The sequence below is a fragment of the Homo sapiens genome, chromosome 10 (assembly GCF_000001405.40).
Source record: "Homo sapiens chromosome 10, GRCh38.p14 Primary Assembly".
In the NCBI taxonomy this organism is placed as follows: domain Eukaryota; kingdom Metazoa; phylum Chordata; class Mammalia; order Primates; family Hominidae; genus Homo; species Homo sapiens.
In genome coordinates, this window is record NC_000010.11 from 59,890,496 (window position 1) to 59,907,651 (window position 17,156).

Below are 17,156 nucleotides of genomic sequence, written 5' to 3' on the forward strand. Positions count from 1 at the left end.
AGCAAATCTATAATCATTGAATTGAGAAGGAAAAGGAAGAACTGTGCTGAATGCACCCTGAGAGCTTTCCTAAGTCACATCATTTATCCCCAAAACTGGAGAGCTAAGATACTATGATCGCTTTTTAGAGAAGAGGGCAAGATGGCTTAGAGGTTAGCTAAATTGCCCCAGGTTCACACAGCAAGGAAGGGGCAAACAGATTTTTGTTTTTTTTCTTTTTTATTTATTTATTTTTATTTTCTTTTTATTATTATACTTTAAGTTCTAGGGTACATGTGCACAACGTGCAGGTTTGTTGCATATGTATACATGTGCCATGTTGGTGTGCTGCACCCGTTAACTCGTCATTTACATTAGGTATATCTCCTAATGCTATCCCTCCCTCCTCCCCCAACCCCACGACAGGCCCCGGTGTGTGGTGTTCCCTACCCTGTGTCCAAGTGTTCTCTCATTGTTCAATTCCCACCTATGAGTGAGAACATGTGGTGTTTGGTTTTCTGTCCTTGCGATAGGGCAGACAGATTTTTAAACACAGGTCCTCTAGGTTTTAGGACTATCAAATAAAACACAGGAGGCCCAGTTAAATTCGAATTTCAGATCAACAACAAATAATTTTCTAGTATATATAGGTGCCATGCAACATGTGGGACATATGTATACTAAAAAATAATTCATTGTTTATTTCCAATTGAAATACAGTTGTGCATCCTGCATTTTTACTTGCTAACTGGTAATCCTACTTGGTTTCCAAGTGCTTCCGTTATTCCAAGTCAAGCCAAAGCACCCTAGGGTGGGAAAATCAGAAAGCAGTTAATGAATAAAATTGAAAGGAGGGAAAAATTCACACAGCCTAATAGAGAATGCTAATCTGCAACACATAAAATAAAGAAGCATAAAAACAAAAGCAATAGAAGCTATAGAAGACTTTGAGAACTGGGGAAAGAATACACTGTACTTATGGAAAGCAGTAAAGCCTACCGGTTTTCATTTGTGGCCTAACAAGCGAATCCCAGTTCCCTTTACACATCACTGTCAGGCAGCAATCACCCAGAGCTACAAGGCTCTGGGCCAAGTAAGAACCAACCACGGAAGGGATGACTGTCATTAGCACTAATCTTCCTTACCTGAAAAAGAGTTCAACAAGAAGGTGTTCAGACAAGTAGCAGAGAGGGAGGCAGAGAAACCAAAAGGCTCCAATAGTTTTGGCTAGAGGCCCCACAACTCTGATGGATAGACAACAGCAAAAGAGGGAAGGGCAGTCTTGAGCTTACTTTAACTTGTTTATTTACAATGCAAGCAGAGTTCATCAGATAAAATAGCCTCCTTGCCCTCTCTTACCATCCCAAAAGTCAATACAACCAAAATATTAATAGTAGTTTGGAGAAAAGCATGCTCCTCAATCTTCAAATGAAGTCCTCAGGCTAGAAAGCAACCCAGAGGCAACAAAGAAAAGAGGTCACTTGAGGAGTCCTTGGCAGAGAAAACTACTGCCTCCCACAGACCACCCTGGCCCATCACCAGGGGTTGTCCTTCCATCATTCGGCTACTGCAATCCTGCAAAGTCAGTCCATTTCAAAGATTCATGTTTTGGTTTCTGTTCTTTAAACCAGCAGCTAAGGAGAAGTGGCACTAGGGCGTTGCCCATCAAAGTCCACCTTCTAGAACCCATACCCCCATGAAAGAGGGTCAAAAGTCTCTATCAGAGAGGCCAGTTTTGACAGTCTTCTGTCTGCCGATAGTACTAAAGTCAGAAAACGTGTACTTTTTTAAAAAACACAATGGAAAGAGCTCTGTAACTGACCTATAGGGAAAAAAACCAGATCTTTTAGGAAGTGTGTTTACCTCCTGCAGTCCTGTTACTTTTACACAGCCACACAGACTGGTATAATCCTGGCTCACCAAACCCTTGGAAACCCACTCAGTTCCCAGGCATCCCCAAGCACCAGAGAAACATGGGTCGTTAGAAGCCAGGTTGCGAGGCTCCCCAACCTGCGGTGCACAGGGAGCTTGGTGCGGCCTCAACCACCCCCGCTCAGCTTTCAAGAGGTTATTTTTCTATCATAATCTTATAGGATTATCTAGAGCAGGACTGATTTTGAAATGTATTTTGGAGGACAATAGAAGGGGGTGGGGAAGTACTAATAATAGTTAATATCATTTTCTACAGGAATAACTCACACATTACCCCAAAACTTTCCTGTGTGTATCAATCTCATTTGATCTTCATTAACTGTGGGATGGGAGCAAGATTTGTGTTAACTCTACAGTCTCTCATAAGGTAAGTAACCAAGGCTCAAAGGCCCTAAATGCAATACAACTTAGCTAGTAGGGTAGCCAGAACCTAATTAATAAGCACATAAGTCCTGTAGGGCCTGAATGTCCTCTGCTGTGTCACACTCCTTTCACGTCATCCCGCTGCCCAGCACCAATACTGAGGGAAGGGGGTGGGGCCGCCCAGGAAGCTGACTCTAAAACTGAAAATAATTTCACAGATACTTATGCAGACCATTGCACAGCAATAAAAAATAACTCACTATATGCACTGCATGGATACTGTTTAATATTAGTGAAGGAACTAGGATAATCAAAGAATCCAGACACACAAAATACATTCTGTATAATTCCATTTATATGAAGTTCAAACACTAGCAAAACAAATCTATTAAATATATTGAGATAAATCAGAACAGGGTTACTTTTTGCGGGGGGAGGGATACTGACTGGAACAGAGCACATGACAGTTTCAGGGGTGTTGACAATTGCATGTATCCTAAGCAGGGTGGTGGTTACACCAGTGACTTCATTTTTAAATTCACTGAGCAGCCGGGTATGGTGGCTTATGCCTATAATCCCAGCACTTTGGGAAGCTGAGGTGGGAGTATCGCTTGAGCCTGGGAGCTGGAGATCAGCCTGGGCAACCATGTGAAACCATGTCTCTACAAAAAAAATCCAAGAAACAAATAGCTGGGCATGGTGGTGCACGCCTGTGGTCTCAGCAATTCAGGAGGCTGAGGTGGGAAGATCGCTTTGAGCCCAGGAGGCAGAGCCTGCAGTGGGCCAAGATCACCCCACTGCACTCCAGCCCGGGTGAAAGAGTGAGACTTTGTCTCAAACAAACAAATACATACATACATACATACATACATACATACATACATACATACATACATACAATGAGCACTGTTTGATAAATTTGTGCATTCAAAGTCTGTATACTTTAAAGTAAGTTATGGTTCTCCACCGAAGGCTTTACAAAGAAAAGTGAGCAGTTCCCAAAATCTATTCCACAAACTTTATTGAACAGCTGTGTTAAGGTTATGGAAAACACAAATGACCCTTCAAATGGTAGGGTCTTTACATGGCAGTCACCATGCAAGGTACCGTCCAACTGCTGTGTTCAATCCCCTGCTCTGCTGCTTACTGCGATCTTCAAGGGGTTGCTGGGACTCCCTGTGCCTCATGTCTTTCATCTGTGACACTGAGATCACAAAGGGTTGTCCTGAGGAGTCAATGAGTCCCTAACGGTAAAGGGTTGAGAACCATACCCAGAAACACCACAAGACTGCAATATGTGGCAACTGTTATCATGGAATAAGACAGGTCATCCTACTAATGATAAATAACAAGATACCTGCCTTCAAATATTTCATTAAAAAGACACAAATAAATGTCTGCACTGAGTAGCCAGAGTGGATTTCCAAGAGGCAGAAATGCTCTTACTCTTCCCCCGCCCTTCTGTAGTGAGCTCCTGAAGGGAATCCAGGCACACAGCCCAGAGTTGCCCAGCTGGTCACTGCTCTCCTCCCATCCTCATTTTTCTCGGCATTCAGGTTCTGCCTGGGTGTGGGAGGAGTGCCTTGTCCAATCATTACTCAGCCCCTACTTCTTTCAAATTAACTTCAATTTATCCTTTAGATCGTGACTAAGAAATCTCCTCATTCCAGAGCCTGCGCTCTCTAACTCTGCCTCCACTCCTGGATTGAATCAGGGGCCCACCACCAATGCCACCAGCACAAAATCATCCCAGTTGTTATATACAGGCACACTGCCTGGCATACAGCAGACACTCATGTTTGTTGAAAAAAATAAAAAAACCCACTTGTACTGTGCTAGTCAGGCTATTTTTAAGTAGAGATTGTAACATAAATGCAAAGGAAGAAACTGATTCCAGACTGGGATGGGGAGGGGTGGGGGGGAATCCATAAGGCTATGCCATGTGAAGAGGTGGCAATATCCTGGGGTAGCTGAACAGGGTGCAGGAGTGGAGTAGACCAAGGCCCAACTGGAGGGCAACTGAGCCAGGAAGGGGAGCACAGACTGTCCCCCATGCGATGAAGGAACCCTTCTCTAGTGTTATTTCTTTTCCAAGACAGGGAGTTTGCTACCCTGGCAACACTCCCTTAGGCCCAGCATCCTGGGAATTTGCTGTGGCAAAGGAGCAGCCCTGACTATCCTAACTGAACAGAACTGTATAGGAACTTCTAATAGGAAAATGCCCATGAGATGAAGATAAAACTGTCCCTGGGCTGTGCATGGTATCTTATGCCTGTAATCCCAGGACTTTGGGAGGCCAAGGTGAAAGGACGGCTTGAGCCCAGGAGTTCAAGACTAGCCTGGGCAACATAGTAAGACCCTCTATAAAAAATAATAATAATAGTGACCCAGGAGTGGTGGCACACATCTGCAGTCCCAGCTACTCTGGAAGCTGAGGTGGGAGGATCACCTGAGCTTAAGAGGTCGAGGCTGCAGTCAACAATGATGGCACCACTGCACTGCAGCCTGTGTGACAGAGCGAGACCCTGTCTCAAAGAAAACCGACCAAACAAAAAGGCCTGTCCCTAAATTAATTTATATGCCATCTTCCCACAGACTGTAGAAGCTCTGAGGTCAGACCTGGGCTCAAATCCCAGTCCCATCTGATAGTCATGGGACCTCAGGCAAGTGATACAAGCTTTCTGGGCCTAAATTTGTAGGCTTATGGCTATGGATAAACAGTAGTACTGATCGTATAGGACTGTGGTGAGGATTAAATGAGAGGATATACGCAAACCCCTTCCAATAGTGCCTAACCCATAGTAAGCACTGGATAAACATCCACTGTTATCACAGCAACACAAAAAGATTTGGAAGTGGGACAATGGTGGTGAATAAAAATTCTGTAAGCTTTCTTTTTCCTTCAAACCTTTTAAAACTCCGGTTTACCTTGCCTCAAAAGAGGTCTGGCTTTAGTCCTTGACGTTCTGGAGGCAATTTCTAACCCTTTCGAAGGTCATGCCTGATAAGAGTGTCTTTGTTTACCTGAGGGCGTTGGATCACACTGGAAAGCCTAACAGTGTGATTCAGCCTGAGCGCTTTAGGCCATGTGGTATCAGCACAGCCTACTCAGGGCCTGGAAACTGAGATCTGCCCTGTGGATAGGCGACCATGTCTATGTGATGAGCCCCAGTAAAAATTCTGCAGCCCAAGGCTTGGCCAAACTTCGCTGGTTGGCAATACTCCATGTGTATTGTCACACGTTGTTGCCAGGAAAGTAATGTTGTGCACACTCCACGGGGAGAGGATAACTAGAAGCTCCACAATGAAAAACGTTCCTGGACTCTGCCCTATATGCTTTTTCCCTTGACTGATTTTAACCTGCATCCTTTCCCTGTAATAAACTGTACCTGTGAGTATAAAAATAAGTAATTTAAAAAATAAAATTACAGTTTATTCCAAATGCTATCAAGGAAATTAAATGCATACATTTCATTAAAAATAAAAAATAAAAAGCAACCATGATCTGTGAAGTGTTGGGGGTAAGATATGGGGGGATGACCCTTCCCTCCTGGAGGACAAGCTCTTGCCATGGGTTATTCCCTCATCCAGCATCTCCACATCTGGGTGCTTACTGGCACCAAGCCCAGAGCTGGGCGTAGGGCTAGGGCACTGCACATTTGCTGAGTGACAGAAAAGAACCATATATGGGACAGCTAACAGGCAGTACAAACTTAAGTTAAAATAAGACATCAACACTTAAGGTCCAAATTTATAACTTCAAGACCAGGACAGTAAAAAGCAGCTAGCAGCTTTTGTAGACCAGAGTAAGTCTTTCTTTAAAAAAAAAAACAAACAAAAACAAGAACAAAAACAAACAAACAAAAAAAATTAAGTCACTAGGAATAGAGGTTTACCAGGGAGGAAAAAAAAATGGGTGTTATTGTTTAATGGGTACAGAGTTTCCTTTTGGGATGATGAAAAGTTCTGGATATGGATAATGGTGATGGTTGCAAAACACTGTGAATGTACTTAAAGCCACTGAATTGTACACTTACAAATGGTTAAAATGGTGAATTATATGTTGTGTATGTTTTTATCACAAAAAAAAATGCAAAAAAAGTCACTGGTACTCTTCTCTGGGTACCTAAGGTATTTCACAATATAAACCCCATGCATGCAAGGCTCAAAATGGCATAAAACAGTTAATATACTTTCCAAGGGACATAAACCCTTACCAGGTAGTGATTTGAACCTGAAGAAGTCTAACTCTACTTTATGGAGAATACACTTAAAACAGTACTCTTTGGTTAATAAAAACAATAAAATCACCTAGTCAATTTTTTCCTCAAAGATTAGTAGGGCTACTAAATGAAGTGAAGACACGATGTTTTGACTCAACGGATGTCTTTGTTTAGATAAACTCTGGTCTAGTGAAGAACTCCACCCCACAAAAAACATCTCTCAGTAGAATAAAAGTTATCATTTGAGTTGGTATATTAGGATAATTTTTTTTTTTTTTGAGATGGAGTTTCACTCCTGTTGCCCAGGCTGGAGTAAAATGGTGCAATCTCGGCTCACCGCAACCTCCACCTCCCGGGTTCAAGCGATTCTCCTGCCTCAGCCTCCCGAGTAGCTGGGATTACAGGCATGCACCACCATGCCCAGCTAATTTTTTGTATTTTTAGTAGAGAAGGGGTTTCTCCATGTTAGTCAGGCTGGTCTCAAACTCCCGACCTCAGGTGATCCGCCTGCCTCGGCCTCCCCAAAGTGCTGGGATTACAGGCGTGAGCCATCACACCTGGCCTATTAGGATAATTTTTAAAAAGTCAAGCTTGCATACAAGTAATTTCATGAGTTGAAAAGTTATCTATATGAAACTCCAGGTATAATTATTTTTCTCTCAGATCTGTCCCTTTTAGCCTCTCTAATTCAATCTCAACAAGCAGACAGCACAAAAGACTCAAACTGTTCACTTATAGAAGCAACAGGTGAAGTGTTTAACACAGGTAACTAGATTTCTAAGAATTTTCTTTAGGTCACCCATAATCCCTGCTGCTTTCATTCTTTTACTCTCGTCCTTCCTCCTATGGAAAACTTTTTGAATGATGACTTATGCCTGGCTGAACATCCCAACTCTGCTCTGCAGTACCAAGTGGCCTCATTTGATCCTCAGTGCCCTGAGATGCCCTGGTGGGTATTACCCAGATCACTTTGGACACACACCTGGCACCACAAGGCTGGATTGATCTGGAACAGATGCATGGAAGATTAGCCCATCAATCAGCACTGCTTTTGTAAAAAACTAGAATTCAAAATTTCCTATAAAATAGTACCTCTAATTTTACTGCAAGAAGTCTTTGCTTTCAGATAGTTTCGGATTAAAAACTTGAGAAATTCCGTCCATCCACCATTATTCCATGAAAGAAACAGGAATAGAGGGAAAAAAACCACCTAGATAATTTCCATGTACTGACAGATGCAGATTATGAAATTAAAATATCAATGACATTTCTTTTCAATCATCATCACATAAAAACAAAAATTAAAAACAAACCAAAAGCCTCCCAGTGCCACCTCAGCATAAATTGAGCAACAGCTCTCCCCATCTCTGCCTTACATAATAAACTACAAGCTAATTAAACTGTGAATGAATGTGATAACTTGTTACCCTTAAAGATATTCACAGAGATAGATGAACTTCATTTTGGAAGCTGGAAGGTAAAATTCCCCTCCCTGGGAACCCCTACAGGAGTCGGCCTAAGCTTCCCTTCCTGCATCCATGTGTGTGTTGGTTCCTTCTGCACTGCACAATCCCCAAGGCTGGAGAGAAAGGCTGTTTCCCTCTGCTCTGTATTCCCTACAGCACCAGGCCAGGGCCAGGCTGAATGAAAGTCAAGTGCAATCCTCGCTATGCTACCGGGAGAGCCCTAACATTCCTTTTGGATATTTGTATCCAGCACACAGTATTATAAGCACTTGACAGCTGAATCCTGCCTCTTTGAGGCTATATTTATTTTATTTATTACATGCCATTTTGTACCTTACTGAAGAAACAAAGGCGGGGGCAGAGAGGGGAGACCAGAAAAATCTCCCAGCAAAAAACAAATGAGTATTGTAATGAACTATAATCATTAAATTGCACTCCATATGTCTGATCCAGGAACCAATAAGTAAAGGGGAGGGTTAATTCTAAATGACCATCAATCATATTGTTAAGCCTTTTTTAAAAGAATACTTATCCCTAAAGAGAGAACCTACACAAAGTGACCTTTGCAATTTACTGGTATCAGGGTTGGAATAGACTTCACAGCTGTGCATTTCACAGCCATAAAAGATAAGAAAATTTGACAGCCTTGGAGAAGTAGGAAGAATCTGCAAGTTAACACCACCCCAAGATCCTCACAATTAAAAATATTTTCCAGAGGATTAGTTCCTCTGTCAAGAAAATTGCAACCATCACCAAGCAGGAACATATTGAACCTGTGAACATTTACTCTGCCAACTTTGACAATTCAATATACCTGAAAACAACCACAATGTGATTGAAAACAAAAAGCAACACCTACCCACTAAGGAAAAAAAGTATGCAGAGAGGACAGAAAAGATTACCATTATTCCTTACTCAGCCTGACTGCAGTTCAGTAGTTTGGATTAGCATTTTGAAGTGTAAACACAATTATTTCGGCAAGGCATGATTTAAGGAAAACACACACACACAAATACACTGTGGTGACACTTGTGTCTCTGCAAGACACAGCAGACGTAAGAATTCAACAATCCCCCTACCCTGTTTTCAGATGCTTCCCCCATCACTGCTACAGGTCACCAGTATTTATTTGCATTACTGCATCCCCCTGCAATGGGCCAGAGTTGTTTCCCAGTGGTGCATTTCAACATTAAAGAGTCATAGGAAACACCTGGAATGATCTGCCACCATCACCAAAACCAAGGCAGCAAATCTGAACACTTCCAATGGGGCTACTTTTTCCTCCAAGCCCTGCTCAGAAACACTTAGAAAGGAGAACCTGAAAATACTTTGTCCCCTTTCAGATAAAATGTTATCAGGAACACCCAGGTGTATGCTGCAAGGTAGCCCACATCACCCAAAGCTAGAAGGCAAGGGCACACTGATTGCAATGGTCCCCCAAAGTATACAATGCATCCATTCACATATCTGGTCTGTTTCATCAACTATGGTAAAGAAAGTGTTTGCTGTTGTGGCAGGGGAGTGGCTCTATGAAGACAAGGTCCCAGAGAGAGTGTTGGCACCTTCATCACAGAAAGAAACAAGTACATACATACCCGTGCCTCTGGAGCCAGCTCAACAAATTTCTGGGTGTTTCTCACATGCCAAGCACTGAGGAATGTGATGAACAAGGCAAATTCTGCCCCCAAAGAAATTTACACATGAACCGGGAAAGATCTCGATAGTCGAGTGTCAGTGACGTGGGGTGGGGGGGGTGGTGTCTATGGAACCACGGAAGTAGGTGCATACCCCAGTAGCAGGTGCATACCCCGGTGTGTGGCTGACAAAGAGGAAGTATCAGGGCATACCAGGAAGGGGTTCAGGTGGAGAAGGCAGTACAGTCTATTTCAACTGACAAGGTAGAAAAGAGGGGAGGAATACAGAAGAACATTTAAGGGGACGAGCGGCACCATTGAGGAGCCAGAGGAAATCTACTGAAGTTCTGGGTGCTAGTAGTAAAGGAGTGATGTGAGAGCTTAGAGAATGCACACTGGGCTAAACGCATGTAAGAGGTGTGGCTGTGAAGCAAGCAGGGCATTCCAATCATGCAGAGCCTGGTAAACCACCAGAAGGTTCACCTGGATCCAAGGACAATGGGGAGTCATTCAATATGTTTAAGCAAGCAATGGCTACCTTCAATTTTTGCTGTAGACCAGCCTCTCTGGTCCTGAACAAGAGTCACCACAAACCAGATACTGTGAATTCTCTAATGATTCCCCATCTCTAGCAAATAGGAAGCACTGTAAAAGACTGTCATGACCTTTAAAATTTCAGCTTTTGGCTGGGCATGGTAGCTCACACCTGTAATCCTAGCACTTTGGGAGGCAGAGGTGGGTGGATCACTTTAGGCCAGGAGTTCTGAGACCAGCCTGGACAACATGGTAAACACCACCTCCACTAAAAATACAAAACTAGGTGGGCATGGTGGCGCATGCCTGTAGTCCCAGCTAGTAGGGAGGCTGAGGCATGAGAATCACTTGAACCTGGGGGGCAGAGGTTGCAGTGAACTGAGATCGCACCACTGCACTCCAGTCTGGGTAATAAAGCTGTCACACACACACAAAAAAAACAAACGGTTTTTAAAAATTAAGTACAAATAGAGTATATGAAACACATAGAAGATACTTACAAATGTGAAAAAACTCGTAAATGCTGAAGAAATAGGAGAATGGCCTCTTTAAGAAGACTTGTGTACAGTTAGACCTAACTGTGAGGTCATATTTTCCTCAAAGTTGTGTCTAAAGTTGTGTGTTTCCATAAGAATCTAAGAAATACTTTTCTAAACGGGGGGAAAAAAGACATCACACTCTCATCGTCACATTTATAAAGGCAATATCGATTTGTAGCTTCAGAGTCTGACAAAAGTCTTAAAAATTGAAAATAACATATTAGACTTCCAGAGTAAATAATCCAAAATATACAACATCAACTATATGGCAGATTTTATTGGTTAATGAAACCATTACACTGTTGATGTTTAAAATAGCCAGGTTTTCTAATCATGCCAGACCAACATATTTTTCTATTATAACTTCAAAACACCTTGTACTTCTGTATTTCCCTTAACTTCTACAATAAAGGATTAATTTTACAGTCAGAGAGACACTTAAATATCAGTGATTTATTATAGGCCTTGATTTCCAAACCAAACACATACCAAAGGTCTGAAACTGCCTGGAAGAGGTACACACCCTAGAGAACCACCTGAGGCCCTGCTTATACACGGAGAATGCCAGCAACTAGCTGAGAACTTTGAAGCCATCCAATTACTGCCCACAATTGCATTTCCTCACCTTCTCTAAGACCACCACCCCACAATAACCCTCACTACACTGAATCATATAATCCACAATCACATTCTCACTCATAGGACAAACCAACAGATCTGGCCTAACATACAAAAGCTACTCAAAAAGGTGACTATGCATTTGTTTATTTCCCCTACTCCAAAAAAAAGAAATTATGATCTGTAATCAGTAGCCTGATTCCCCTGCTGACTTCATGGGGAAAATTGAATAATCACTCAAAATATTCTATTCCACTTTTAAGCCCCAAATAAAATGGCCTAGGGCAGGCTATAACTCACAGGTGCACTGGGCGCTTGTGGACACGACTGAAAGACTGCTTACTGTTGATTGTCTCCCACAGATGATGTTTACCACTATTATACAGATACTGAGAACACAGGCCCATGAAACTAGTCGTTCATTAAATGGGTAGTTTGACCAGAATAGCCGCTTACATACCAGAAGAGACCATTGGTTAAGAGCTTCTATTAGCCTTTGGACTTGGCTTTAAAAAGGGCATAACAGAGATATTACTATACACCTATTGGAATGGTCAAAATCTAGAACACTGACTACAGCAAATGTTGGTGAGCAACAGTAACTCTTTTTTTTTTTTTTTTTTTTTTTGAGATGAAGTCTGGCTCTGTCACCCAGACTGGAGTGCAGTGGTGCGACATTGGCTCACTGCAACCTCCACCTCCTGGGTTCACGCCATTCTCCTGCCTCAGCCTCCAAAGAGGCTGGGATTACAGGCATGCAACACCATCCCCAGCTAATTTTTCTGTATTTTTTTCAGTAGAGATGGGGTTTCACCATGTTGGCCAGGCTGGTCTCGAACTCTTGACCTGAGGTGATCCGCCTGCCTTGGCCTCCCCAAAGTGCTGGGATTACAGGCATGAGCCACCGCGCCCGGCCCCGCCAAAGCAACTCTTATTCACTGTTGGTGGGAATGAAAAACGATGCAGCCACTTTGGAAGACAGTTTGGCAATTTCTTATAAAACTAAACATACTCTTACCATATAATTCAGCAATCATGCTCTTTGGAATTTACCCAAATGAACTGATATCTTTCCAGACAAAACCCTTCATATGAATATTTCCAGCAGCTTTATTCATAATTGCCAAAAGGTGGAAACAACCAAGATGCCCTACAGGAGGTGAAGAGATAAATTATGATACATCCAAACAATGAAATACTATTTAACTCTGAACAGAAAACAAGATATAGGAGTTGGGGAACATGGAAGAAACTTAAATGCATTTACTAAGTGAAAAGTCTGCATACTGTATGATTCCAACTATATGACATTCTGGAAAAGGCAAAACTAAGGAGAGAGTAAAAAAAATCAGTGGTTGCCAGGAGTTTGCAGGGAGGGAAAGATGAACAGAGCGTGGAAGACTTCCAGGGCAGAAAAACTCTGCGTAATACTATAATGGTGGACACATGTCATTATACATTTGTCTAAACTCATAGAATATACAAGACCAAGTAAACTCTAGACTTTGGGTGATAATGATGTATCAACGTAGGTTCACTGACTATAACAAATGGACCACTATGATGAAAGATGTTGATGGTGGAGGAGGCTGTGCCCGTGTGAAGGCAGGGGTTACGTGGGAAATCTCTGTACTTTATGTTCAGTGTTACGTGAAGATAAAAGTGCTCTAAAAAAATAAAGTCTATTAAAAAACAAAACAAGTCGGGGGAAAAAAAGAGCCCGGCTCTTCCCCAGGGTGTGGCAAAAAGGCAATGTGTCTTCCTGAACTTGCTCAAGGAAAAAGAAGGCCACAATCACCTTTAGTGCCCAAGGACATGAACGTTAATATCATAATTAGAACTAAAAAGAGCCAGGAAGGCAATTACCAGAATTATGGTACCATCTTCCCTTCAAATTAACTAAAATAGTGAAAAATCTAACAAGGCCTTCACTTAATTATCAGAAACTTCCTAGCCTGCCACTAGCAAGGGTAATGCTTAAGTCAGCGATGTCAGGGATTGTACAGCTTAACCTTGACATAAACTACTTAAGTGTTGTTCAATGGACTCTACATTCACAGGCCCATTTCATGGAGTCACATAAATTTCTCCTCCCGCATTACATACCTGAGAGGTCAAACGTACCACCACAGAATCTGGATCCTAGGTCAGTTAACAAAACCTGCAAAATCTTGAAGGAATCTGTTTTCTGCATTTATCATTCAGCTCCTTAGTAACAACTGCCAAGTATTAGGAAACCAGGCGAACCACAAGCACTTTTTTATGTGTCTCCCTGAATATATTAGTCAGAAATTAAAGAAGAACTGAGAGGCTTCTGGTACTTGTGCAGTGTCATCTAAAACAATGTTAACTTTACTCATTAACACCACACGACATTTCACAAAGTATATTCGGTTGGATGTCAGTGTAGTTAAGGGTAAGTGCTAAGAAAGCAAGCCACCACCTTATACGCTCTTCTAGCCAAGTACTCAGAAGGCCTCTGATCTTAAACACCGGGAATGAACACATTTGTTCCTGCAAAGCCAACATGTTTAAGCACAATTTACAAACCTAGTTATAATACGGTCTAAGTGTCAAACAGATAACCCTTTCATAGTCTCTGCATCCCTCATTCCTCCCTCCCAAACAAAACCAGCCTGAATTGCCCACTGCATGCAAAAGGCTATTTTGCTTCATGCAAGTCTTACTACTTTCCATGGCTCACAGTCTCCAAGAGACTAACCCTCTCATTTACTAACTCAAACCTTAAACTGCCTCCAACAACTTCCCTCTCTTCTTAACCCCCACTCAGCAAAGACATCTCTGTCAGCGAAGAAAGCTGCATAGGAGGCTTGGAAGTGGCTGCCTCTGCAAATTCCCCGCCCCCCACCTTCCTACCAAAAGGGCACTTCAAGAACTTTACCATCTCACATGAAAGTTGCTCCAATTCCATTCTCCAAAATTGGATTTGAGCATGAAAAGTTTCTTTTTACAATCAACTGCTATTTAGGCTACTGATCACACTTAACTTGCAACTTGCTTTCTACACAAATTAAGAATGCCATCTAGTTCTCATGTATGAGCCAGCACTGGGGGTGTACACACGCGTGCGCACACATATACACAGCCTCCTCCACCGAAGGCATTTCCTGGCACAAGGGGCATCCTAAACTTGCTCCATTTCCAAGGTGTGACCCTCTATCCCCAAATTCATCCCTTTTTCTTCATTTCAAAGTTCAGCCTAATCCGCTATTTTGCAGCAGCTATGGCCATTTATCCCCCTTGATTTCTTGACATCATCTTCTCTGCTTCTGGCTGGGGAACTTTTGATTTGAATACAGTTGTCTGTGTGGGGATCCTTCATGTTAATGATGTGGTGAGCTGGCAGGGATGATAGGTGAGAGTACACAGTGTACTTTTTCTAGTTACGTTTCGCCTCATCACTGCTATAGGGGCCTTTCTAAACGCCTGCCACACCAGGAGAGAGACCTACAGACCCAAGCTTACCCGTTTCTGGGCAGCCTCCAGGGGACAGGTAGAAACAGAACAGATGGCCTGTTCTCCAGTATCTAGACTCAGAAGCAAGATACTTCTAACCACTCCACGAATGAAGCAAACACACGTACCTCTGGCTCAGCCAGGGAGTCACAGTCACTACCCTTCCCCTGGTTTCGGCCCCAGCCCTGTCCAGGCGTGGATGCTGCACTCTCCTCGCTGTAAACCGTCCACCCTCCCAACCCAAAGCAAAGAGCTTCCAACAGAGGTGGGAGCATTAGCGCCGTACCCGCCCTTCCCTCTCGATCCCGGCCAGAAAACTCCACTTCCCGGATTCCCGGCCACTCTCTCCCGCCCCCTCCCCGGGCGATCCAGCTAGCGCAGTCCAGATGCCAGCTTAGTGCCCAGTCCAGCTGCGAACCCCCACACTCCGAGCCAGGACCCAGTAAGAGATCCCAGCTTCCTCCCTCTTCCAGGACTGGGGTTCCCCAGATTCTGGACGCACCCCTCAAACATGCTAGGGCTGAAAAAAGTCCTACCCCGCCCCCCAGCCACGCCGCCAGCCTCCAGCCCAGCCCCGGAGGGGCCTCCTCTCCAGAGGCTAAAAGGGACCATGAATGGTTGCCACAGTAGCCTTCCCCCGCACCGCGCAAGGGTCCTCAGACCCCCGAGGAGGACAGACCCGCGTGGCCCCGAAGGGATACCTCCCTCTCCTCCCGGAAGCCAGCAGGTCCCCGCAGGGAGTGTGCTCTCAGAGGGTCCCCGGGAATCTGGGGAAGACTTGGGGGGTGGCTGGATTCGGGTGCAGCCCCTCCCGGGGCGGGCGGAGGTCGGCGCTGCGGCGCGTCCCCGGGGGGCACTCACGATGGTCACGCTGGCTTTGCGCAGGTCGCGGTTCTCCTCCTGCAGTGCCTTGCACTTCAGTTTGTAGGTCTCCAGCTCTATCTTCAGCACCTTGTTCTCTTGCTGCAGCGAGGCCAGGCGGTTGGTGAGCTCCTCCAGGCGGAACGGCGAGATGACAATGCCCCCCGACTTCCCACCGCCGCCGCCTCCCCCGCCGCCACCGCCGCCGCCCGAGGTCGACGAGCAGGACGACTGCATGGCGGCCGAGCTGCTGCTGTTGCCCCCCGCCCCGTCCGTGTCGCTCTCGCTGGCGCTGTCCGCCATGGCCGCGGCGGGCTGGGGAAAGGAGGAGGAGCAGCAGGGAGGCGGCGGCGACGAAGGCCGGGCTGCGAATGAGTGGGCGCCGGGCGAGCACAGGGGAGCGCCGAGCTGAGCGCCTGGCACCAGGGCGCAGACTCGGAGCGGCGGCGAGAGAAAGAGAGGGCGCTTCCCGCTGCCAAGGGACCTCCTCTGCCAGAGAACAGAGACCCCGCCCGGGCTTGGGCAGTATTGCACTGGGGCTCGCTCCAGCCGGGCTGGGCGCGCTCCCTAGGCCGCCCAGCAAAGCTGGCTGAAAGCTCCGGGACCCGCCCGCCGCCGTCTGGTGACCACGGGCGGGCTGGGAACGCGCAGGCACTGCGGGTGCGGGAAAGCCAAGGACTGCCCCCGCACCACCAGCTCGCCAGCCACACGTGTTCCAAGGGAGGGCCTCCGAGCCCCCTGATCTAAGCCCACGGCCGCCCAGCCTCTTCCGGGCTCGCGCCCGCCCCGAGAAAAAGGAAACCTGATGCCCCACCAGCCTCGCAGGTGCCGGGGACACGTGGAAAGGTCAGCCGGGCTCCGGCACCCATCCTCTACCGTGTTGTGGCCCCATCTTCCGCCGACTGTGTGTGCGCGTGTCTCCCTCTATCTGTTTCACACATACACGCAGTTTTATATTCTCAAAAGCAAGGTGTTTTTGACTAGGAAGGCTTGGATAAACCTAAGAGAACAAAGTTCCTCTACAAGAGGCCGAGGAGGATGAAACAACAGCAGCCACAGGTTAACCTTGTTAAGTAAGAATTTGCAGGAGAGACACACATCTCCTTTAATAACCTCATAAACCACACTGCGCTCAATTGTTTAAACAAGGTGCAACTGTTTTTTTCTTTTTCTCTTTGCATTTTGCAAACATTTCCAGCACATGTCTCGTAGTAGGATTAAGACAGTAACATTTACCTAATGAAGAAAAAAAAAAAGGAAGGCGAAACACTTTTAGTAGAAGATTGAAACACCTCTTTAAGTGCCAATTTTCCAAAGTAACTGCGGACATAACATTATGCTATACAAATAGTAATGATTGAGTGGGAGTGCAACATCACCCGTCTTTGCTATCCTCTTGCTCACTCCTAGAAAACTTTAGCATGTAAAAATAAAACAGTAATTACTGTAATGCGGTCTAATTCATGGTTCTAGCTTTGCAGTTTAAGAAATTAAAAATCAAAAACTTTTATTCCCCCTTCCTCTTCCCAA

General features: G+C 44.8%; 1 protein-coding gene across 1 annotated transcript in view, besides 5 other annotated features; it reads right to left on the reverse strand.

Moving 5' to 3' along the window:
- The window catches only part of CCDC6 (coiled-coil domain containing 6), a 117,810-nt gene extending 101,749 nt beyond the window's left edge, over positions 1 to 16,061 (reverse strand). The window contains exon 1 of the mRNA NM_005436.5: positions 15,627 to 16,061. Coding sequence (NP_005427.2) covers positions 15,627 to 15,929 — 303 coding nt within the window. The 5' untranslated portion in view covers positions 15,930 to 16,061. The remainder of the gene's footprint in view (positions 1 to 15,626) is intronic.
- Positions 978 to 1,067: a silencer, noted in NCBI's record as "silent region_2385". NCBI's record gives its function as "represses an Ori minimal core promoter by ATAC-STARR-seq in GM12878 lymphoblastoid cells {active_cell/tissue: GM12878}" and the evidence as "EXISTENCE:reporter gene assay evidence [ECO:0000049][PMID:35858748]".
- Positions 14,774 to 15,003: an enhancer, noted in NCBI's record as "active region_3391". NCBI's record gives its function as "activates an Ori minimal core promoter by ATAC-STARR-seq in GM12878 lymphoblastoid cells {active_cell/tissue: GM12878}" and the evidence as "EXISTENCE:reporter gene assay evidence [ECO:0000049][PMID:35858748]".
- Positions 15,524 to 15,803: a silencer, noted in NCBI's record as "silent region_2386". NCBI's record gives its function as "represses an Ori minimal core promoter by ATAC-STARR-seq in GM12878 lymphoblastoid cells {active_cell/tissue: GM12878}" and the evidence as "EXISTENCE:reporter gene assay evidence [ECO:0000049][PMID:35858748]".
- Positions 15,834 to 16,173: a silencer, noted in NCBI's record as "silent region_2387". NCBI's record gives its function as "represses an Ori minimal core promoter by ATAC-STARR-seq in GM12878 lymphoblastoid cells {active_cell/tissue: GM12878}" and the evidence as "EXISTENCE:reporter gene assay evidence [ECO:0000049][PMID:35858748]".
- Positions 16,356 to 16,650: a silencer, noted in NCBI's record as "tiled region #3982; K562 Repressive DNase matched - State 1:Tss". NCBI's record gives its function as "represses a minimal TATA promoter and a strong SV40 promoter by Sharpr-MPRA in K562 cells {active_cell/tissue: K562}" and the evidence as "EXISTENCE:reporter gene assay evidence [ECO:0000049][PMID:27701403]".